Below are 25,063 nucleotides of genomic sequence, written 5' to 3'. Positions count from 1 at the left end.
AATAAAAACACAGTTACCATTGCAATCTCCCCTTCAGCCCCCAACTCAGATGAGCCTCTCCTCCACTCCCCCACTCCTATCAAGTGTATGTTGGAGGACAAAAGGCACAGAAGGGTGAGGTGAGAAGGCGGAAGAACAGAGAATTGAGAAAGTGAGAGGAGGCCATCTCTTGATGGACATGGACTAATAGTCGGATTTAGGGGAAGAAATCAAGGCAATTAAACTCTAGGGGTGTTTGGAAAGTAACCTAACGCTGCTGCTCCTCCCAACAATGCCAGGCTCCCATTCCAAATGCCCGAATCCCAAATACTCCCCACCATTAGTGCTCTCTTACTTAACATGCAATGTTACAAGGGCAAGATTTCTACCATCACCTTTCCCCAGTCCTTGCTGGGAATGTAGCAGTTAAGGATCCCTTGGTTCTTGTGTTTTAAGACACTACTCAAGAAAGGATAATAGGACCGGTGAATAATCTTACACACTTAATTTGAAATCACCAAAATATTGCTACATTTACTTAACTATATACTTGAAGGGGTGGATAGAGGAGGTTAATACAAAAGGCAATATGACCTGCTAACCCAATCTCTTTGGTATCCATGATATAGTTAATGGTTTCGGCAGATTTATTCCTCATGAACTAGTCTTATTATGTGGAGTTCATAGCAATGATTGAGGGTACAAATATTAGCCAGTTCACCTGCCCAATGTAAAACACCTGAGCCTTCTAAAAGTCTAATGTGGTCAGGTGCAGTGGCTCACGCCTGTAATCCCAGCACTTCGGGAGGCCAAGGCGAGCGGATCACCTGAGGTCAGGAGTTTGGGACCAGCCTGGCCAACATGGCGAAACCCTGTCTCTACTAAAAATAGAAAAATTAGCCGAGCAGTGGTGGTGCACTCCTGTAATGCAAGCTACTCGGGAGGCTGAGACAGGAGAATCGCTTCAACCCAAGAAGCAGAGGTTGCAGTGAGCTGAGATCACGCCACTCAACTCCAACCTGGGTGACAGAGTGAGACTCTGTTTCAAAAAGTAAAAAAAAAATTAAAAAAAAAAACTAAAAGCCTAATGTTGCTACGAGACTTTATTCCTAAACGCAGTGCTGAGAATCTGAACCAGGATGTTTTCCTCCCGGCAGTGTGTGGGCAGGTACAGTGTGTTTGGTGGGGAGGACAACAGGAATAATCACAATAAGAACAAGATTAATAACAATAAGGATTAATCATAATAAGAATAATCATAGTAAGAATAGCCTCACGTGTGAAACAGGAAATCACATATAAATCACCAAAGTCAGGCCACTTGTTCTAGTTTCTTATACAGGTGAGTAATGATCCACTGGTGGAGTAGGAGGAAAGAGGGTGGTGTCTATTCCTAATTTAGAATAAACATTTGTATTTACACTTTTATTGCATATTTGTAGATTATAGCAAATGAAATTAACTGGGATTAAAAATGTTTGAAAAAACACATGTTTGTAACAGTGTGGGATTTTTCTTAATGTTAGTCTTAAAGCATGTATTGCCTTCATGATCACACAAATAAATATGAGATATTTCAAACATCGAGCTTAATGAATTATTTAAAGCAAATACACACAAAACCACCCTATCCAGGTCAAGTAATAATAACCCATACATTCCCATGGGCTATTTCCCAGCTTCTGTCCTCTATAAAAAGTATCCATTGCTTTTATTGTTATTTGAGCAATTCCCTAACAGTTCCCTTTTTATCATTTTATCTACACATGCACCCCTAAAATTGTGATTTCAATTTTTCTACTTCTGAACTTTATATGAATGGAATCATCCAGTATTCATTCCTTTCTTTCTGCTTCACTCAATATTATGTTTGGAAACTTCACTCATGTTGCATGTAATTATAATTCATCATTTTCCTTTCTGCACAGTAATCTGGTATATGAATGTTGTATATTTCCCATTTGTTTACTAATAGAGACATGCGGGTTGTTTTTAGTGTTTGACTTTTGTGAATATAACTTATTTGAATATTATTTTACGTATCTCTTGGGAGAAGTGGATGCAAGTATCTCGGGTATATACCTAAAGGTAGAATTTTTGGGTCATTGCTTTTTGTAAAATTGGTTAAGCCAACTTTAGCTTTCCCTTGGAGGTACACAGAACTGGTGAATATCCCTTTCACTCTTCACATAAGGAAAGGCTGGACAAACTGCAAATTAATAGCTTTTATTTAACCTATCAGTTCTCTGATTGGGCAAATACTGGACAAACACCTAACTCAGCATCATGGGAGAGACAGGTGCCTGCAGGGAGCAACAGGACAAGCATCTACTTATACAAGGCAGACACTGAAAATGATATATCAATTGGTAAGAAGATTTAAACATTTTTTAATGCATTGCTAAAGGCCAAGTATTGGTCTAGCATGAGAACATAAAGATCATTCTTTTATTTTTAACCTCTGTGATACAGTTTGCTTTAGTTGTGTTTCTTACATACCGCAGAGTTGGATTTTGCTTGTTAGCCAATCTGAAAAATATTTTTTTCATCTAGTCAGAGAATTAAGCCTTTCTATGTTTACTGAGAGGACCAATATGTTCTATAGAAGTTCTCCCACACTGTTCTGTAATTACATGTCAATGGAAATACACATATCTACATACATGCATAAGACACTCACATGGCACATATCCCCACTCTGGTTGGTTCTATTTATTGTTATATTCATGATACAGAAACATTTATGCATTTTTAAAATATGTATCAATTATGTTATATTTTATCACACAGATACCTTTCATTTAGCCCAAATTTTAGAGGCACATATAGTCAATGCCCACCATTAGTTCTTACACACAAGCTCTGCCAATCAATTTTTAGTTAATGGGAATTTTTTTCATTTGTATATTCTTCAGGAAGAGCTAATAGAAACAGCATTCCTTGTGTTCATGAGTCTTTGTGACTCTTTTCTCTTTTTTTTAGATGGAGTTTTGCTCTTGTTGCCCAGGCTGGAGTGCGATGGTGAGATCTCAGTTCTCTGTAACCTCTGCCTCCCGGATCAAGCAATGGTCATGCCTCAGCCTCCCGAGTAGCTTGGATTACATGCATGTGCCACCATGCCCGGCTAATTTTTCGTATTTTTAGTAGAGATGGGGTTTCACCATGTTGACCGGGCTGGTCTCGAACTCCTGACCTCAGGTGATCACCTGCCTTGGCCTCCCAAAGTGCTGGGATTACAGGCGTGAGCCACCGCGCCTGGCCTTTTGTGACTTTTAATCTTGAAGGTCACTTCGACTGGAGGTAAAAACCTTGCTTGTGTTTTTCTTTCATTGAATATCTTTATTTATTTTTCATTTTTATTTTTAGAGACGGAGTCTTGCTCTGTCGCCCAGGCTGGAGTCGGTGGCGCGATCTCGGCTCACTGCAAGCTCCACCTCCCAGGTTCACACCATTCTCCTGCCTCAGCCTCCTGAGTAGCTAGGACTACAAGTGTCTGCCACCATGCCCGGCTAATTTTTGTATTTTTAGTAGAGACGGGGTTTCACCGTGTTAGCCAGGATGGTCTCGATCTCCTGACCTCATGATCCGCCCGCCTCAGCCTCCCAAAGTGCTGGGATTACAGGCGTGAGCCCCCGGCCTCAGTGAGTATCTTAAACATCTGACTTGCTCTCCTGGCATAAGACCTTCTTGTTACAAAATCTGCACTCGATCTGACTTTTTCTATTATAAAATGCTTGTCTTTTTTGTCTACATATATAAAAGTCCCTGCCCCATTTTATTATTAAAGTGAAGTAGTTTATTAGAATATTCCTTGGTGTTAGTGATTAGGGGTCAGTTTTTTCAGGTATACTGGTTGCCCTTTCAATGAGTAGATTTGTGTTCTTTTATTTCAGGAAATTTTCTTGAATGATAGGTTTTAGTATTTGTTCTGTGGTTTTGCTTTTTATCTTTGTGGACTGCTTTCATAATTGTTTTGAATTGATATTGCCTTATTTCTCCCTGACAAGTTCTCATCTATATTTCCATTTGATTGTTTTTCTATTTTTCTCTTTTCCAATCTCCATTTCCCTTACACTTTCCACACTATTAGCTCTTGAAAAGTAAGTGTTTCTTAAATGTTTACTTAAAAAACTCCAGCTGGGTGCAGTGACTCACACGTTTAATCCCAACACTTTGGGAGGCCAAGGCGGGTGGATCACTCGAGGTCAAGAGTTGGAGACCAGCCTGACCAATATGGTGAAACCCTGTCTCTACTAAAAATACAAAAATTAGCTGGACATGGTGGAAAATGGTCTTTTACTTATGATATTTTTCTATGGAGTTCAATTATAATCTTTTAATTTGTTCATGTTTTAGTGAGATGAATTTTCTTATGGTTTTGGAAATAGTTTCATATATAGGAGATGGGGTGCAACAAAATAACTTTCTTTTTTTTTTTTTAGACGGAGTCTTGATCTGTCTTGCCCAGGCTGAAGTGCAGTGGCATGATCTCGGCTCACTGCAGCCTCCATCTCCTGGGTTCAAGCGATTCTCCTCCCTCAGCCTCTCAAGTAGCTGGGACTATAGGCATGTGCCACCACACCCAGCTAATTTTGTATTTTTAGTAAAGACAGAGTTTCACCATGTTGGCCAGGCTGGTCTCAAACTCCTGACCTCAGGTGATCTGCCCACCTCGGCCTCCCAAAGTGCTGAGATTATAGACGTGAACCACCACATCTGGCCTAATTTTCTTTTTTGATATTACAAATAACTTTATACCATTGTATTACTATAGTTAACAATTTAAGTGAAATGGACGAATTCCTTGAAAAGCACAACATACAAAACTGACATAAAAAGAACTACCTATTCCAAAACCCCATCAAAAAGTGAGCAAGGGATATGACAGACACTTCTAAAAAGAAGACATTTATGAAGCCAACAAACACATAAAAAAAAGCTCAACATCACTGATCATTAGAGAAATGCAAATCAAAACCATAATGAGATACCATTTCATGCCAGTCAGAATGGAGATTATTAAAAAGTCAAGAAACCACAGATGCTGGCAAGGCTGTGGAGAAATAGGAAAAAACACTTTTACGCTGTTGGTGAGAATTTAAATTCGTTCAACCACTGTGGAAGACAGTGTGGTGATTCCTCAAGGATCTAGAACCAGAAATGCCATTTGACCCTGCTATCTCATTACTGGGCATACACCCAAAGGAATACACATCATTCTACTGTAAAGACACATGCACATGTATGTTTATCGCAGCACTATTTGCAATAGCAAAGACGTGGAACCAACCCAAATGTCCATCAGTGATAGACTGGATAAAGAAAATGTGGTGCATATATACCATGGAATACTATGCAGCCATAAAAAGAATGAAATCAGCACGGTGTGGTGGTTCACGCCTATAATCTCAGCACTTTGGGAGGCTGAGGTGGGTGGATTGCGAGGTCAGGAGATCGAGACCATCCTGGCCAACATGGTGAAACCCTGTCTCTACTAAAAATACAAAAAAATTAGCTGGGCGTGGTGGTGTGTGCCTGTAGTCCCAGCTACTTGGGAGGCTGAGGCAGAAGAATGGTGTGAACCCAGGAGGTGGAGGTTGCAGTGAGTCGAGATCGCGCCACTGTACTCCAGCATGGGCAACAGAGCAAGACTGTCTCAAAAAAAAAAGAAAAAAAAAAAAAAAGGAATGAGATCATGTCCTTTGCAGGGACATGGATGAAGCTGAAAACCAACATTCTCAGCAAACTAACACAGGAACAGAAAACCGAACACTGCATGTTCTCACTCATAAGTGGGAGTTGAACAGTGAGAACACATGGGCACAGGGAGGGGAACATCAGACACTGAGACCTGTCAGGGGGTGGCGGGGAAGGAGAGGGAGAGCATTAGGACAAATACCTAATGCACATGGGGCTTAAAACCTAGATGATAGGTTGATAGGTGCAGCAAACCACCATGGCACATGTATACCTATGTAATAAACCTGCACATTCTGCACATGTATCCCGGAACTTAAAGTAAATTTAAAAAAATAATAATAATTTGCGAATAAATTCTGCTCCGCACCCTCCAGAGCCAGGGAAAACGGTCCAAAACTGGGACTGCAGACTACTCCTGCTTCAAGACCACGACCACTCCTGTGCCAGGGAGGGAGAGGGGCAAGGGCGTGTAAAATCATCACAAAACTATCCACTGTTTTGAAGTGACTTTTTTATTGGTTCAGTATTCATTTGGTTGCTATAAACTTTTGATTGTTTTCCATAGTCCTGACAAAATTGGTTCAGACAGTTTCTGCTAATTTTTGAAGCTTTTGTGAGATGGTAATGAGAAGTTATGCGTATTCTACCTTTTTGCTGACAAATTGTTCTCCAGTTTCCCGTATATTGATACTTAGTTACTATTTCCCTCTGCTTTGTGGTTAGTTTCCTTTGGCAGGTGAGGGACAGGAATTTTCATCAATTGAAGTATTTTGATATTCTTCTGTTTCCTTCTTATGGCATATTAAATTGATTATCTGAACCAACAATAACAAGTGATTTAATGGATGAATGGTAATATTTTGATTAGTTTGTAAGCTTCTTAGTACATATTCATCTTCTTCTATTAATACAGTGAAGTGCAGTTTCTTTAACAAATAGAACTTTTTCTAAGGGAATGAAGCGACTCAATTCTGTGATTCTTGCTAATATCTGTATGAAGTTAAATTATGCTGGACATGTCCTTATTTCTCTTTGCTACCCTAATTCTAAAGGGCACTTCTATTTTCTAAGTTGCTTCTCTCTAACCTCCAAATTAATATCTCTCAAGATTAACATTTATAGCTTTGCACATTTTCAAGCCTCTTTATTTATTTCCCCCTATAACCAGGATTTTGATTGACTAGGTCTAGTTCTCAGAGATTTTTTTCAGTATTTCCCAGCTCATGATGGATCTACCGCTGTTGCCACTGTGTTCCGTATTCTCTTTTCTGCAGAATCCTCACCTGCTCTCTATGAGAGATTCCCTTGTTCACTGTCTCCTGTAGCACTCAGATTTGCTTTTCCCTTGGTGCATCCAAAGTGGGTGTTTCAATCTACGCTGTCTTTTAGAATGCACAGTTTTCACAACCTTCTTCCTACTGGGATAGAGTTAAGAGGTTATAGGGATTTTATTTGTCTGTTTGCTAGGTATCAAATAATCACAAGCTTTTACAGGTTAGGGCCATGACCACTAATTGAAATGACTATCCTTTCTCATTTGAATTACTTTGGCACCTCATCTGAAATCAACTGACTATACATGTATGAATCTATTTTTGGACTCTGTATCTTATTCTATCTATCTATCTATCTATCTATCTATCTTCTATCTACTTACCTATCCATCTATTCATTCATCCATCCATCCGTTCATCCATCAATCCATCCATCCATCCATCCATGCATTTATCTTCTCTGTCTCTACTCATGCTAATACCACACTGTCTTAATTATCGTAGTTTTATAATAAGGTTTCAAATAAGTTGGTGCAAAGTCTTGCAATTAAAAAAGTATAGTTTGGGATAATAAAGTTCTTTTGAATCCAAAATCAATTGGCCATACATGTGTGAATCTATTTTTGAACTCTGTATCTTATTCTATCTATCTATCTATCCATCCATCCATCTGTCATCTATGTCTCTACTTATGTTAATACCACATTGTCTTAATTACTGTAGTTTTATAATAAGTTTTAAAATGAGTTGTCACAAAATCTTGCAATTAAGAAAATATATATTTTTGGATAATGAAGTTCTTTTGAATTTCCATATAAATTTTAGAATCAGCTAAATTTCTACCAAAAATAAAAAGCCTCTAGGATGTTGATTGAGATTGTTTTGAGCGTATAAATCAATTTGGGGACAATTGACAATTTAAAAATATTGAGTCTTCTGATCCATGAATAAGGTATATTTCTCCATTATCTCAAGTCATCTTTAATTTTTCTCAGCAATGTTTTCAGTCTTCAGTGTACAGGTACTGCACATCTTTTTTAAAATTTTCCCTAAATGTTTTATGTATTTCATGCTACCACAATGGTATTGCCTTGAAAATGATATTAGCAATAGATATTTCTAGATTTCCTTACTCAAAGTGAAGATGTTTCATTCTAGTCCTCCTTTGCTGAAAAGTCTCTTTTTTGGTAGATCATTCATTTTTATTGCTGAGGGTATTCCATTGTATGAATAATTCACAGTTTGATTACCCATTCACATGTTGATGGACATTGGGTTATTTTCAATTTTTGGCCTTTATAATTAAAGCTATTTATGAATGTTTGCATACAAGTGTTTCTATGTTCATATGCTTTCATTTCTCTTAAGTAAAACTTCTAGAAGAAGACATCCAATCAAGCTTTTGTGACTCTGTATTGGGCAAAGTTTTTTAGATATAGCACTAAAAGCACAATTCACTAAAAAATGATAAATTTAACTTCACCACAATTAAAAACGTTTGGTTCTTAAAAGATGCTTTGAAAAAAATAAAAGGCCATAGTCTGGGACAAAATATTTGCAAATGGCTTACTACACAAAGGGCTGATATTCAGAACGTACAAAGAATTCTCAAAACCCAATAGTAAGAAAAAAGACCAATTCAACAATAAATGAAAGAAAAGTTCACCGGTCACTTCACCAAAGATGATACACATGTGGCAAATAAGCACATGCAAAGATGTTGAGAAGTTTCATCATAAAAGGGTGTTAAATTTTTTCAAGTGCTTTCCCCTCTATTGAGATTAATGTATAATACAATATAGATACTAATCACAGAGATTCTTTCCCACAGAGAAAATGCATTATGCACATAAGCTTTGAATCTTAGTGCTATCTTGTACAAATTTTGTGGTGTTGAGCAAGTTTTTACATTGTGTAAGGTTTAGTTTTTTCAAAATGAGGATAACATATAACTTGAGTTATTGTCAAGATTCACAGTAATGTAGGTAGAATTATTCACATGTAATAAGTAATTGACTACCAGTAGCTCTGATGAGATTTGTAGAGCCTCAGATACTCACTTTCTGTACTGTAATTTATGGAGTTAGGAATACTTTTCAACAGGAACACAACATATTCACCTCTTGGATATCATAGTATTTGCTGATGCTCATCCCAAGGTTATAAATGGGTACCAGCAGGAATGAATCAAGCAGAAAGTTTTTAAAAGTATTATTCCAATCTGCAATGAAAAAGATAATGTTAGCATGCTTTATATGAAATGAACTGTCCCAGGATAACAAAAGTCTCCCAAGTTGATAAAATTAAACAGAGAAAATTAAAAGCTGTAACATTATTCTCACAAACCCTCCGTTTTTAGCATAAAGTATACTACCCCTGATTTCTTGAAACATAGTTTGTGTTGATAATTACAGCTTTGGAAAATCCTTTTGGGAAAGCTGATGTCCATATCATCTGTCTTCCTGTCATCTCATGCGAACAAGAAACCAATGCTGATTATTTCTCATACCGTTTATTTTATATAACCAATGAAAAAGCAAAGATGTGATAGGAAATGTAGCCTAGGACTCAACAGTGGAAAGAGGATAAGGAATATATCATCAGTTGAAAGGACATACATCCTCAGAGAAACAAACTTGATGCTGAGATTCCTCTAAATACTAAATTAAATATGTATAACAGTTTATGAATATATATGAGTAAATAAGAAACATGTTTAAGAGGTAAGGCTCTGAACTGTCACTGTAAGACTTCAAGACTGAGTTCAAATTACTGGAAAAAAAGATGAAATTATAAGTCTGAGCAAAAAGCATATTTGTAAGATGCTTTTGTGGCCAGAATTGGTTCCCTCCCGTGGGTTCTTGGTCTCGCTGACTTCAAGAAAGAAGCCACGGACCCTTGCGGTGAGTGTTACAATTCTTAAAGATGGTGTGTCCAGAGTTGTTCCTTCAGATGTTCAGATGTGTCCCGAGTTTCTTCCTTCCAGTGGGTTTGTGGTCTTGCTGACCTCAGGAGAGAAGCTGCAGACCTTTGTAGTGAGTGTTACAGCTCTTAAAGGTGGCACATCCAGGTTGTTTGTCCCTCCCGGTGGGTTCGTGGTCTCACTGACTTAAGGAATGAAGCCTACAACCTTCGTGGTTAGTGTTACAGTTCACAAAGGTAGTGTGGACCCAAACAGTGAGCAGCAGCAAGACTTATTGTGAACAGCAAAAGAAAAAAGTTCCCACAGCATGGAAGGGGATCCGACATTGCCACTGCTGGCTCTGGTGGCCAGCTTTTATTCCCTTATTTGGCCCCACCCACATCCTGCTGATTGGTCCATTTTACAGAACACTGATTGGTCCATTTTACAGAGTGCTGATTGGTCCATTTTACAGAGTGCTGATTGGTCCATTTTACAGAGTGCTGATTGGTCCATTTACAATCCTTTAGCTAGACACAGAGTGCTGATTGGTGCAATTTTACAGAGTGCTGATTGGTGTGTTTACAATCCTTTAGCTAGACACAAAAGTTCTCCAAGTCCCCACTCCACCCAGAAGCCCAGCTGGCAATCAGTACTCTGTAAAATGGACCAATCGGCACTCTGTAAATGGGCCAATCAGCGCTCTGTAAAATGGGCCAATCAGCAGGATGTGGGCAGGGCCAAATAAGGGAATAAAAGCCGGGCACCTGTGCCAGCAGCCCAGCTGGCTTCAACTCTCACTTTGACAGAAGAGAGGGTGTCACCTGAGTGAGGAGGTAGAGGGTAAGTTTGCACCTAATATGTAAATTCTTATGACATTCTTATGACAAAATGGTAGAAGTATGTCTTTCCCTATCAGTGATTACATTAAATATAAATAGATTACTGCTCCAATTAAAGGATAGAGATTGGCAGAATGGATTTTAACAAGCATGATCCAACCATATGCTACCTACAACAGATTCAATTTAAATTTAAAGGCACAAATAAAAGTTTAAAAGACAGAAAAATATATTCAATGCAAACGGTAACCAAAAGAGAGCTGGAATGATTCTACTAATGTCAGACAAAATAGGCTTTAAGATAAAAACGGTTATAAGAGATGAAGGACATTATATACTATTAAATGGGTTAATTCATGAAGAAGATACAACAGTAACAAACATATATGGTCCTAACAACACAGCCCTAAAATATATGAAGCAAAAACTGACAGATTTAAGGGCTTTCAACAATAGTAGTTGGAGATGTCAATACCCCACTTTAAATAATTATAGAACAACTACATTGATCAAACAAATATAAGATATGAACAACAAAATAAACCACCTGACCTAAAGGTATATATAAAATACTCTACCCAACAATAACAAAATACACATTTTTTTCTCAAGTGTACATAAAAAAATTATCCAGGACAGACCATTAATTAGGCCACAAAACAAGTCTTAATAAATTATAAAAAACTGAAATAATATGAAGCATCTTATTATGACTGCAATGGAACAAAATTAGAAATCAGTAACAGAAGGAAATCTGAAAATACACAAATATGTGTAAATTAGACAATACAAACTTAAGCAACAAATGAGTCAGATAAAAAATCATAAGGGAAATTAGAAAATACTTTGACATGAATGAAAACAAAAATATGGTATACCAAAACTTATAAGAAAAGCAGTTTAGTTTTTTCACATTTATTCTTACATTTAAAACTATTTCAAATAAATAATCTAGTCTTCCACCTTAAAAACTGGAAAAAGAAGAGCAAACCAAACCCAAAGCCGGTGGAAGGCAGGAAATAATAAAGACTAAAACAGAGATAAATAGAGAATGTAAAAACAACAGGCCAGGGAAAATATACAATCCCTTTAAAGAATCAACACAAATCAAAGACCTTTATATTGACTGACCAAAATAAGAAAGAAGCCTCAAATTATTAAAATCAGGAAACTAAGAGAAGACATTACTACCAATCTTACAAAAATTAAAAAACATTACAAGAGAATACTATGAACAAATGTAGGGCAATTGATAACCTAGATGAAAAGGACACAATTCATAACCTAGATGAAAAGGACACATTTCTAGAAACACACAAACTACAAAACTAACTCAAGAACAAGTAAAATATCTGAATAGACCTATAATAAGATATTTAATTAGTAACTAAAAACCTCTCAGCAAAGAAAAGGTTGGGATAAGATGGCTTCAATGGTGAATTCCACCAAACATCTAAAGAATAATTTACATTGGTCCTCCTGTTTGGTTTTTAAATAAACAACCAATTGTCCTATTCTCTGACACCCCAACTGGGTGTCCTACAATTGAATTCAATTCTAGCACTACAAAGTATTTTCGAATTTCCCTTGTGATTTTTTATTTGACTCATTTGTTGCTTAAGCTTATAAGTTAGCACAGACTCCATGGGTTAAAGAACCAATCCCACAAGATTGCACCCGCTTTAGACACAGCCACAAATAGGGAATACAGGGTACCTGCACTTCTGCCTGGATAACTACAAATGTTAGGACTCCCACAATTGTTCCTCTGGTTTGATAATGTGCTAAAAACAACTCACAGAACTAAGGAAAGTGCTACATTTACAATTACAGTTTATTACAAAAGAACAGGCAAATGAAGAAGTGCACAGGGCAAGGGGCATGGGACACAGAGCTTCTGTGCCCTCTCCAGTGTGCCACCCTCCCAGCACACCGATGGGTTCACCAACCCAGAAGCTCTCCAGATCTCATTGTTCAAGAGTTTGTATCAAGACTTCATTATGTAATCATGATTGGTTAAAGCAATGGCCTTTGGTGACTGAACTCAATCTCCTGTCTCCTTCCCTCCTGGAGATCAGGGGTGAGGATGTGGGCTGAAAGTTTCAATCCTCATCACATGGTTGATTCCTCTGGCAACCAGCACCTATCCTCAAGCTATCTAAGGGCCTTCCTGGGGTCACTTTATTAGCATAAACTCACGTATGGTCAAGTTTTGAATAAGAAAAGATATTCCATTCATTCCAGAAATTCCAAGGACTGTGGGAGCTCTGTGCCAGGAACAAGGGATGAAGACCAAATACATATTTCTGTTATATCATACCTTCTCAAACTCTACCAAAAAATAGGTCTTATGGTTGTTTGGAAAACAATTTCCTCTCTAACAAAGAGTAAAGGCTTTTCTATTTGAAATCTTTGAATTATCACTTTGAGTAAATGAATGACTATTATTTTACAGTGACCAGTGATTCTATTTTGATGAAGTGTTTTAAGCCTTTAGTATTTGACATACTTCCAAAAATCAAATTTCAAATTCTAAAATTAAGTATTTTCCTTTTTTTTTTTTTTGAGACGGAGTCTCGCTCTGTCGCCCAGGCTGGAGTGCAGTGGCGTGATCTTGGCTCACTGCAAACTCCGCCTCCTGGGTTCACGCCATTCTCCTGCCTCAGCCTCCCTAGTAGCTGGGACTACAGGCGCCCACCACCACGCCCAGCTAATTTTTTGTATTTTTAGTAGAGATGGGGTTTCACCGTGTTAGCCAGGATGGTCTCCATCTCCTGACCTCATGATCCACCCGCCTTGGCCTCCCAAAGTGCTGGGATTACAGGAGTGAGCCACTGCGCCCGGCCTAAAATTAAGTATCTTCCAAAAGGAACTCCTAGATGTCCAAGAGAGACATAGTAGGCTTATTTAATATGTTAAAATTATATAGGAAACACTGGCAAATAAGAAATGGTGCTTGACTTTCTTTGAGTCATATTTACATAAAAGTGTTATTAAAGTATGTTCCAAAATTGTAAGAAATTCCTACAATTCTGATATGTCTTGGTATATGTTATCGGTAATCATTACAATGATGTTAAATTGTATGCCACAGAAATAATCAAATATCCTTGTCAATTATGTCTTTAGGCTGGGTGCGGTGGCTCATGCCTGTAATTCCAGCAATTTGGGAGGCCGAGGCGGGTGGGTCACCTGAGGTCAGGAGTTCAAGACCAGGCTGGCCAACATGGCAAAATCCTCTACTAAAAATACAAAAAAAAAAAAAAAAAATTAGCTGGGCGTGGTGGCCGGCGCCTGTAATCCCAGCTACTTGGGAGGCTGAGGCAAGAGAATTGCTTGAACCCAGGAGGTGGAGGTTCCAGTGAGCTGAGATCACGCCATTGCATTCCAGCCTGGGCGATAGAGTGAGACTCTGTCTCAAAAAAAAAAAAAAATTCTGTCTTTAACTATGTCTATTCTAAGAGATTTGTCATTCTCAATTATTGTTTTATTTTGATTCTTCTCAAAAAGTGGTTTATAATCAGCTACAGTCCAAAATTGGCTTCTTCTTAAGGAACTTCATGGAAAGAACTATGACAAGTACTCTTGAATCCAGGTTTCTGATAACTTTGGAGATCACACCATTGGAGTGGGCAAAAACTTCCAGAGCTCTAATAAAAAACCTGATGCATTCATGAGGGTTGCTAACCCAACATCAAGTGGAATAATAATTAGCTACATGGGACTAAACTGATAGAGGACAAAGATGATTTTTAATAACTTTTTTGCTTGAAACATTGCTGATTCTTTTTATGTTTTGCTTCCAGAGTTAATAAACCTTTTTTCTTTTGAGCTATTCATAGCTTACAAAAATTGGGTAAATATACCTTTGTGGGCAAATTTGAAGCATTTGCCTTTCTCACTACTGGATTTCTCCCAAATTTGGAAACTGTGAGTATTCTTAATTTATGGCAAAATAGTTATTTGCATAAGTTCAATAAGGATCTGTTTTATTTTATAACAGGACATAATTAGATACACTGGCTATTTTATCAAGGCTTTGGCTGGAATGGCATATTTTCAGAGATGACCAGACTGCTTGGAGGAATTGAGATTAGCTTTACAATTTTATAGTGCTGATAAAAAGCCCTTTGGAAAGTCTGGCATGGTTCCTTGTCTACACAGTTCCCTTGTATGGTTTCTGTGCTTGCACTAAGTAAAGAATGTCACTTTCTGGCAGGGCCACGAGCCTCAGTATATTTTGGGAACTCAAGAAGAGAGAAATTAACCCAATTCATACAGGTATTACAGATACAGCCAAGCAAATACTTGGTTTGGCTTCCTAGCCTCAAGACTTTTAAAAGTCTAATCCAAAATTTAGTATAAAAGTCCCAGCAAAGCCAACTTTTAAAAGCCATTCACTATGCCCACTGTGTTTTATGTAAATAATCAGGCGAAGTATCATAAGCCCCAAGTTTATTTTGCAACTATGCATCTGACAAGGGTCTAATATACAAAACTACAAGGAACTGAAACAATTCAACAAGCCAAAAACAAATAACCCAAATAAAACATGGGCAAAAGGAACAAACATTTCTCAAAAGAAGACATACGAGTAACCAAAAAATATATGAAAAAATGCTCAATATCACCAGTCATCAGGGAAATGCAAATAAAAACCACAATGGAATATCATCTCACATCAGTCAGAATGGCAATTATTAAAAAGTCAAAAAACAGATGCTGGTGAGGCTGTGGAGAAAAGAGAACACTTATACACTGTTGGTGGGAATGTAAATTTGTTCAGAAACTGTGGAAAGCAGTTTGGGGATTTCTCAAATAACTTAGAACTACCATTTGACCCGGCATTCCCATTACTAGGTATATACGCAAAGGAAAATAAATCATTCTACTAAAAGATACATGCGTCTGTATGTTCATTGCAGCATCATTCACAATAGCAAAGACATAGAATCAACCTAGGTGCCTATCAATGGTGGATTGGATAAAGAAAACGTGGTACATATACACTATGGAATACTATACAGCCATAAAAATGAATGGAATTATGTCCTCTGCAGCAATGTAGATGCAGCTGGAGACAAAAAGAAAGAAAGAAAGAAAGAAATGTCTAGAACCTACAAATCCACAAACAAAAAAGTAGATTGGCAATTGGGAGAGGCAGTGGGGAGAGGAGAATGGGATGTAACTGAATGAGTACAGGGTTTATTTGGGGGGTGATGAAAATGGGATTAGATGGTAGTGTTGGTCGCACAACATCGTGAATATACTAAAAGTCAGGGAACTGTGCACTTTGAAGGGTAAAAAAGGTGAAATTTATGTTATTTGAATTTTACCTCAATTTTCTGAAAAAGAAAAAGAAAAGCCCGATGAAGTGGATAAAATGTTATTTCTGCATTACTGATGAGACGCGTAGGTCACGTCACGTTGCCTCAAGTCAGACTAGCACCAAAATTGACTACACCGCTCAAACCCTTCTATCTAGCACTAAACAATAAGCCAAAAAAAAAAAAAAGTTAAAATTCAACCCTAAGTCCCTATGGGTTTTCATTTGTTAGAGGCGCGCGCTTTCGAGCTCCGCGCGCCGACCACGGGCAGCGGGTGGGCCCCCTGGCGTCTGGAGCAGCGGCCAGCGCAGAGGACGCAGGCAGAAGGAGGAAGGGCTGGCCGGGGCTCCCGAGCACTCACTGCTCAAGCCTCGCCGCCGCCTCCGCCGCTGCGGGGTGCGCGTCCATCTGGTTGGGGCTCCTCATCCCAACACCCTCCCCAACGGCCCGCCGCGCAGCCGCCCGCGGGCGAGTCTGTAGCCTGATCCTGCGCGGACCCGCCAGAGGCACACCAGGAGGTGGGGAACCGGGGGCGCCCGGGGCAGACCGGGGTGGGAGTGTGGGGAGCCGGGGACGGAGTGTGGGGAGCCGGGGACGCGCGGAAGGTGCCGGGGGCGCGCGGAGGAGCCGGGAGCGCCACCTCAGTCCCCCCACCGCCCCACCCCGCGCATGCTCCCAAGAGCCCCAGACCACCCTTCTCCGGCTTCCGAGATACTTCATCCGTTGCTTGTCCTGGCCCACCGCTCAGTCCCCCAACTCTAGGACGACAGAGGTTAGGGATAAGGGGAATGAGACACGCGCCTTGGCTGCAGCATTCAAGGTGAAGCCAACTCAATAGTCAAAATAAAGACTTTTATACAATATTTTTACATTTTAAAATAAAATGTAAAGATAAAATTTCGTGAGGAGCTGTATTGGCATCTACAGCAAAAGGAAAAGTCAGTAATCCTGAGCCGTCTTTGTTGAAAATTTTTGTACTCTGTTCACTGTGGATTTTTTGGCATTGATTTTTATTTTAAATATTGCATTTAGATGTTTTAGTTTAATATTTATCATGACTACTGAGTGAATCCCGTACATTTTGTGCCATAGGTGAGTACCTCACTATGGTACAGCTCTACCCTGCTGCCATCTTCACTGTGGTAGTGGCAGAAGTCTAGGGGGATGTAAGTAACCACCTCCTCCGCAGGGTCTGTTAGGGGTTAGCAGGGAACTTCCAGAGGCTCAGGCACAGGAGCTTACATGGCCCCCAGGCTTGTCCCAGGACAAGGTCTCAGGGAAGGGCGGGGAAAAGAGATTTACACCAGCTTTCTCAATACTGACCCCTGCATTACTAAAAAGTTTATTAATCTTCTTTCTGTTAAGTCATAATTATAATAATAATTTCATTATTTTAATAATAATAAAATAAACCTCAATAACACCTAATATTTAATATGCTACTTATTAATAATACTTATTATTGGAGGCTTGGGACAATTAGTTCTCTGTGCCTCTGGTCTCAAAAGAAGTGATGCAACCAAGACTAGTTTTCTCAGTGCTACTTTACTGAGGACCTGGGTGATGTGAACCAAAGCTTTATCAGGAAGATGATTTGAGATGATTTGCAGAGTTGTCCTGTTTCTACAGGATTCACTGGAGTGAATTCCTATTATTGAGGTTTCTTATTTTGTCATTGTTAAAATAATGAAATTACTATTATAATCATGACTTAAAGAAGATTAATAAACTTTCTAGTAATGTGGGAGTCAGAAATAAGATTTCTATTTAATCGGGGCTAAATTCCTGAATTTACTATGGAAGCAAATAAATATCTGGCTTTCTTATTTCATATCTCTTTTAGTTGATGAGTATTTGGTTTTGCTTTTTTTCTCCTTGTTAACTTTAAAAAAAAAACCACACAATTTATAAATTTAGACAAGAAGAGACTTTCTTATACGAGGTTACAGCCTGCAAGGTGGGATCCTATGCTGGGAAGCACGCTGTATTATTCCGTTTTCATGCTGTCTATAAACACATGCCTGAGACTGGGCAATTTACAGAAGAAAGAGGCTTATTGGATTTACAGTTCCACATGGCTGGGGAGGCCTCACAATCATAGTGGAAGGCAAGGAGGAACAAGTCACATCTTACATGGAGGGCAATAGCAAAGAGAGAGCTTGTGCAGGGCAACTCCCATTTTTAAAACCATCAGATCTCGTGAGACTCATTCACTATCATCAGAACCGCAGGGGAAAGACCCGCCTCCATGATTCAGTCATCTCCCACTGGGTCCCTCCCACAAGATGTGGGAATTATGGGAGCTATAAGAAGAGATTTGGGTGTGGACATGGAGCCAAACCATATCACATGCCTTGGCCAAGATCAGAGACAGGCACTTTGAAGGAGGAGGGTTGGGGTAGGAGCTTTATGCTCAACAGGTTGGCTAAATATACATATTCAACAGGTGAGAGAAGAAGCTATGAATATTCATGAAAGTGGTCCTGATGCATGTGTATTTAACAAACATGCATGTTACATACAACTCATGTTCATTTTGGGGTGGTTGCAGCATTTAAATGTATTACAATTCAGCCTGATACGTCAAAAGGTCTTTTCAGGACATGAAGGCATGCAAGTGTGCAACCTCTGTAAGTCAGCCAGAACCATCCTATAGTCGGTAGTCTTATCAGGAGAAAGTTACTGAAATCAGTCTCTTGTCCAATCAAGCTGTAGTTATGGCTGGTGGAACAAGGGGTCGGTTAGTCAATATCTGTGATTTGGATGAGTTGTAATTGTTTTAATATTGCATATCTTCAGCCGGGCACGGTGGCTCATGCCTGTAATCCCAGCACTTTGGGAGGCCAAGGCGGGTGGATCATCTCAGGTCAGGAGTTCGAGACCGAGACCAGCCTGGCCAACATGACAAAACCCCATCTCTACTGAAAGTACAAAAATTAGCCGGGGGTGGTGGCATGCACCTGTAATCCCAGCTACCTGAGAGGCTGAGGCAGGAGAATCACTTGAGATCATGCCACTGCACTCCAGTCTGGGTGACAGAGAGGGACTTTGTTTCAAAAAAAAAATTTATATATATATATATGCACATATATACATATCTATATAGATACATAGATACATATACATATCTATATAGATACATAGATACGTATATATGTATATACATATATGTTTGTGTATATATATATATACAGAGAGAGAGAGAGAGAGAGAGAGAGTGAGAGAGAGAGAGAATCACTCTGTTGTCCAGGCTGGAGTGCAGTGGCACGATCTCGGCTCACTGCAACCTCCACCTCCCTGGTTCAAGCAATTCTCCTGCCTCAGCCTCCTGAGTAGCTGGGATTACAGGCACATGCTACCACACCTGGCTAATTTTTGTACTTTTTGTAGAGATGGGGTTTCATCACGTTGGCCAGGCTGGTCTCAAACTCCTGACCTCACATGATCCGCCCGCCTTGGCCTCCCAAAGTGCTGGGATTACAGGTGTGAGCCACTGTGCCCAAGCCATGTTCCCTATCTTCTCTGAGCAGGGCTGGGGAAAACAAAAACAAAAATATTGCTTATCTTCAAGCCAGTGCTTGTTTAGCTGCTGGAGAAAACAAAAACTCTGTGGCAGTTAGAACATAGCTTTTTTCTTTAAGTGTAAGGGTGCGTGACTTAACCCTTCCTGGCATGGCCTTAGATCCTGTTTATAATTTGTTATCGTATTGCCACAAAGAGTCTGTTCTGTCAGTCTTGTGATCTCTGTATTAACATTAAGGCTGCTCAGTTGTGTCTAAACTCTAAAAGGGAGAGGATGTAATGAGGCATATCTGATTTGCCATCCCATCATGGCTGGAAACTAAGTCTTTAAGGTTTTTCTGGGGTCTGCTTGGCCCAGAGGGGGTTCATTCAGTAGGTGGGGGGCATAGGATTTTATTTTTAGTTCACATTCACAAAAACAAAGGGCCAAAAAAGTCTTACTGTGTCACACAGGCTGGAGTGCAGTGGTGCAATCTTGGCTCATTGCAGCCTCCATCTCCCGGGTTCCAGCAATTCTCCTGCCTCAGCCTCCTGGGTAGCTGGGATTACAGGCACCCGCCACCACACCCAGCTAATTTTTGTATTTTTAGTAGAGAGAAGATTTTACCATGTTGGCCAGGCTGGTCTCGAACTCCTCACCTCAGGTAATCCACCCACTTGGGCCTCCCAAAGTGCTAGGATTACAGGCGTGAACTATCATGCCAGGGCTATATGTCTGTGCTTTCTAAACCCAATAAATGTGATGTAATATTAATGCTAACAGCACACGTGATGGGCCAGAAACATTTCTATAAGCCCAGCGGCTCTGGGCATAAATTTCTAGGGATGGTGAACCGAAGAAACAAAATTGTGTCATTGAAATCAGCTTTTCCCAACCACCAGTGTCTTCTCTCTCTCTCTCTTTCTCTCTCAGTGTTCACTTATTACATGGCTACTCTGTGCCAAGCACTGTTGCTAAACACATTATGTACAATTTCTCATTTCATTGGTACTGATTTTGACACTTACTCATCCACTGTCTTTTATCATGATGTGACCATTTCCTACAAAATGCCCTATGTAGCTTCCAACCAAAATACCACAAAGCACAACTTCAGCAGTCCTGCCTCTTGACCTTCTCCCAGGCTCTGCTCTCGCTCATCTGTTCCATCCTTTGCATTGGCAGAAGACCCATCTTTCTAAATGCTTACTCTCTTGGAGCATGTAATTTCTTTCCTAGGAATCACCATTCTCAGCTGCCTGACTCCAAGAATCGTTCTCAGTTTTATCTTCTGATGCTCCTAGACCTCAGCACCTTATTCCAGCCTAACACATCTGGCAACTCACTGTTCCCAGAGCTATTCAACATGCCTTCCACCTCAGGGCTTTACTTGGCCTGTAATGCCCTCTTCCTCTCTTTCTGCCAAAGTAGCTTAATGATTAGGAATATAATTCTGAAGTCCAACCATGGGCAAAGCCAGCTCCTCTGCTGACTTGGTGGATGACCTTGAACTAAATTTCTTCCCTTCTCAGAGCCTCCAATGGACAGTAAAACTAATAACAACACCTCCCTACCTTAGAGGTTGTTGTATAATTAAATGAGATAATATACATAAAGTGCATGGTGCAGTATCTGGTACATAGTAAAGATCAATAACCTGATGTTATCATTGTTGTCGTCACTATTATTATTTCAGACCTTGGTTTCTCCCCACTCTTTCATGAAGCCCTTATCTAACCACTCCAGGTCAAAATCATCTCTCTTTTCTTTGAATTAACTTACTTTTCCTATCACTGATTTGATGACTAGGATTTATTGCCTTAAGCTTTACATCATTCCTTTCCGATTTTATTTCCCCATCTCAGGTAAAAACTCCTGGAAGAAAAGATCCTGCAATTTGGCTTTTTGTGAGATGGAAAAGATTACACCTTGCCCTGCAAACTTCCCCCCTTTAAAGGCGAAGGTTTGTTAGGTTAGTTAGCCTGTGAGAAAACTGTGCGTTCTTAGCAATCAAAGGCCAGACATCTGGGGGTACAGGGGGGAGGAAGACTAGGATAAGAGACTCTAGACGGGGACAGAATTAAAAGGAAAAAAAAATTAAATAAGCCTCCGTCTCCTTTTATCTCCTAGCAGTAGGCAGTAATTTAATAAATAAAGGAGCCCCGTTAGCGTTTTCCCTGTCCATTCTTTCCCAGGCACGGTGACCTAGACAGCAGCAAAAAGCGAGTTAATAGGGAGGGGTTATGTAGGAAGCAAAAGTCAAGGAATGTGGCTACAGCTGATTACAGGAACTGAGAAAGTGGACCAAACAATATTGACTCCCAGCACGCCACCGCGATGTCCATCTTGGGGAATCCGTTGCTGGAAGGGACCCATCTCGCCCACCCTTAGGGGTCGAGGTGGGCGAAGGGGGAGGAGAGGGCTGGCGGGGCGGGGCGGGGTTGCTCCGCCCCCGGAGGCTGGGCTGTGACCAGCAGGCGGCTCCACAGAGCAGCGGGCGCGCTCATAAAGGGCACAGCCGAGGGTACGTGGATCGCGGTGCGGAGACTGAGGTTAGAAGGCACAGGTGGCGAGATGAGCCGGGTACCAGCGTTCCTGAGCGCGGCCGAGGTGGAGGAACACCTCCGCAGCTCCAGCCTCCTCATCCCGCCTCTAGAGACGGCCCTGGCCAACTTCTCCAGCGGTCCCGAAGGAGGGGTCATGCAGCCCGTGCGCACCGTGGTGCCGGTGACCAAGCACAGGGGGTGAGTGAGGAGGGTCGGGGTCAGGGGCAGGAGAAACTGGAAAGCGGGGAAAGGAGGAGCAGGAAGAGGAGGGGTGGGAGAAGGGAAGAGACGGCTTGCCTAACCGTTGCTAACAGCTGCCACTTTTAATAGGCGCTACCCGGTGTGCTAAGTGGGCGTTTTACAGGTGTTACCTTGTTTATTTCAGCACACTCTCCACCTAGGGAGGTATTGATACCACCATTTGATTGGTGGAAAACTGAGACTCAGAGAGGTTAAGTGACTTACCTAAGCTTACACAGCTACTAAGTGGCAGAGCTGGAAAGGTTTTCTGATCCAGAGCCAGACTTCTGAACATACTGTGCATAGTGTCTAAGGGAAGGGCAGAGGGATGCGGGGGCTGGAAGAGGGCCAGTGGGGTGGTGAGGAAGGAAAGAAAAAGGAAAGTATATGGATACTTTCTAAGAGACCCCAGCATTGATGGGAAGGGGCTGAAGCTGCTCCCTCTCTCCTTGTAGCTACCTGGGGGTCATGCCCGCCTACAGTGCTGCAGAGGATGCACTGACCACCAAGTTGGTCACCTTCTACGAGGACCGCGGCATCACCTCGGTCGTCCCTTCCCACCAGGCTACTGTGCTACTCTTTGAGCCCAGCAATGGCACCCTGCTGGCGGTGAGCAACTTCCTGTCCCGGGGTGGAATGGGGCCCCTGGGCCCAGATTGAAGCTCAAAAGTAAGTTCTCCGCAGCAGGGGGAGTCTTGATTGTGACTACGCGTGCCCCTCTGCAAGTGACTGGATACCAGCAACAGTGAAGGTTATCTGTGTCCATGTATCTATTTCTAGGACTGCCTGAGGATGCATAACACGGCACCAGCGCCCACTGCTGCCTCAAGCATGTGACAGTGTGGAAATAATAATCTTGTTGTCATTCTTGCATATGTCCTTGTCCTATACTCAGTTGCCCCAAATACGCAGCTTGAATGAACCCATTAGCCAAGGGAAGACTTACTTACTGAATCCTTGTCGACATGGAAAAGAAGGGGTGTTCTATAATCCCTGGGAGTCTTCAGAGGGGTATACGGTGTGACCTGTTTTAATATCTAATCATAGTTTCAAAAGGTAGCAGTAGCTTGTGTTTATGGAGTACTTTTTATAATGCATCAGGCACTTTTCTAAACATTTCACATTTATTAATCCTCTTAATACTTAAAACTATTCTATGATATGGGTAATATGATTACTCCCACTTTATAGATGAGGAAACCGAGTCAGAGCAACTATGTTCAACTTACCGAGGTTTATGTAACCAACAATTAGCATGGTTGGACTTCAGAGCTGCTCAGTCTAAGTCCACGGTCCATAGGTCCAGACTCTTCTAAGACCACCGCCATTTTAACTGCTACATATTGGGCACTTATGTGCCAAGAAGGAGACGCTGATCACATTCAATTCTGCAAAATTCCTCTATGGGTGTTTTTATTAACTCCCCTTCCCCCCAATTTCTGTTGAGGTCCTTGAGGCTCAGGTTAGTAGAGTCACTTTGCTTGAGGTCACACATCTGGTTAGTGAAAGACTCAAGAATCACTCCCAGGTGTGACAGTTAACTCTTAAGGTCTGTGCGCTCCAAGCTGGGTCTTACAATGTCCCTCCTTTTCCCCTGAATTTCTGGATCGCCAAATAATCTGGCCGTTTAACACTCCTTTGAGAATATCTAGCTTTCCCCAACTTACACTCATCCAACCGAGATGGCATTCATACTACCTGCCAACAGCGGTTCCCTAGGGGGGTAGAACCCAAGGCTTTGAAACTAGATGACAGCTGAATCTGCTCAGTGACTTCGTGATTCACTTCCTCATCTGTAAAATGAGGTTGATGATGCCTATTTTTTGATGATCAGCTGAGATGAATAACAGGGAGAGGAGTGCAGAGGATGGTTTTTACTAGCGAGGCATAATTTTCAACCTTCGCTGTGTATCGGAATCACCTGGGCTGTCTGGGTCTCACTCCTGGAAGAGATACAGACTGGGTTAATCTAAGGGTGGTATCTGAGCATCTTCACGAAGCTTTCCACATGTGCAGCAGGAACGGAGAGCCACTAAGAGTTTCATGGCCGTTGTCCAGATGTCAATTGGCAACCTTCTCTCTCTAGTTCCTTCTTAATTTGGTGTTTTGAGAATCCTAGGGCAAGAAAAGAAAATGGGCAGTTCTTGAGGGCTCACCATGTGCTAGATGTTTCCAGATATGCCAGTGCATTTAATCCTCACAATAACCCTCTGAATGGCTGGCATTATCTTTTTTACAGGTGAGGAAACCAGTGCTTAAAGATTAAAGTGTTTGTTCAAAGTTGCATATCTCGTAAGTGGAGGAATCGGATCCAGGTCTGACGCCAAACCCATGCTGTTTGTAGGATGCTATAAAACTTCCTAAGCTAATATTTTAGAACTGTTTCTTCTAATTTATGCAGTGGACAGGGGTTCCCCTTGCTCACTGTCTCTCTTTTCCTCCAAGGTCATGGATGGAAATGTCATAACTGCAAAGAGAACAGCTGCAGTTTCTGCCATTGCCACCAAGGTAAGATGAATGGCTGGCTGTACCATTAAGGTGAGCTGTCAAGTGGGGTCTGGTGTCTCAATCTTGAGAGACTAAAGGAGAAGTGGGGAACTTATTTTGGTTTCCTGTTGGACATAGCTGGAACTCCAGATGTCAGATATATCAGTAATTCACGAAATTATTAGCTACCAATTAGTGTGCATGACCAGATTTCAAGTACCTTATGTGCATAATTCTCAATCTTCCCATCAGTCTTGAAGAATC

General features: G+C 40.8%; 1 protein-coding gene and 1 long non-coding RNA gene across 3 annotated transcripts in view, besides 2 other annotated features; one reads left to right on the top strand and one right to left on the bottom strand.

Moving 5' to 3' along the window:
* The window catches only part of CRYM (crystallin mu), a 44,542-nt gene that overhangs the window by 2,711 nt on the left and 16,768 nt on the right, over nucleotides 1-25,063 (top strand). Inside the window, exons 2-5 of one of the 2 annotated variants that reach the window (NM_001888.5) lie at nucleotides 21,392-21,498; nucleotides 22,016-22,270; nucleotides 22,768-22,921; nucleotides 24,758-24,820. In NM_001888.5, coding sequence (NP_001879.1) covers nucleotides 22,101-22,270; nucleotides 22,768-22,921; nucleotides 24,758-24,820 — 387 coding nt within the window. In that variant the 5' untranslated portion in view covers nucleotides 21,392-21,498; nucleotides 22,016-22,100. Of the gene's footprint in view, nucleotides 1-21,391; nucleotides 21,499-22,015; nucleotides 22,271-22,767; nucleotides 22,922-24,757; nucleotides 24,821-25,063 lie in introns of those variants that run through there. The other variant, NM_001376256.1, reaches the window with a different exon arrangement.
* Nucleotides 3,990-4,284: a silencer, noted in NCBI's record as "tiled region #10772; K562 Repressive non-DNase unmatched - State 9:DNaseU". NCBI's record gives its function as "represses a minimal TATA promoter and a strong SV40 promoter by Sharpr-MPRA in K562 cells {active_cell/tissue: K562}" and the evidence as "EXISTENCE:reporter gene assay evidence [ECO:0000049][PMID:27701403]".
* LOC105371125 (uncharacterized) lies at nucleotides 6,393-9,882 on the bottom strand. The gene is made up of 3 exons (XR_950905.3): nucleotides 9,850-9,882; nucleotides 9,014-9,174; nucleotides 6,393-7,097 (listed from the first exon to the last, which is right to left on the bottom strand). It is a non-coding gene; the product is annotated as an uncharacterized LOC105371125 (long non-coding RNA).
* Nucleotides 22,061-22,270: an enhancer, noted in NCBI's record as "active region_10553". NCBI's record gives its function as "activates an Ori minimal core promoter by ATAC-STARR-seq in GM12878 lymphoblastoid cells {active_cell/tissue: GM12878}" and the evidence as "EXISTENCE:reporter gene assay evidence [ECO:0000049][PMID:35858748]".

The sequence above is a fragment of the Homo sapiens genome, chromosome 16 (assembly GCF_000001405.40).
Source record: "Homo sapiens chromosome 16, GRCh38.p14 Primary Assembly".
NCBI lineage: Eukaryota > Metazoa > Chordata > Mammalia > Primates > Hominidae > Homo > Homo sapiens.
This window is presented reverse-complemented; position numbering and strand designations above follow the sequence as displayed.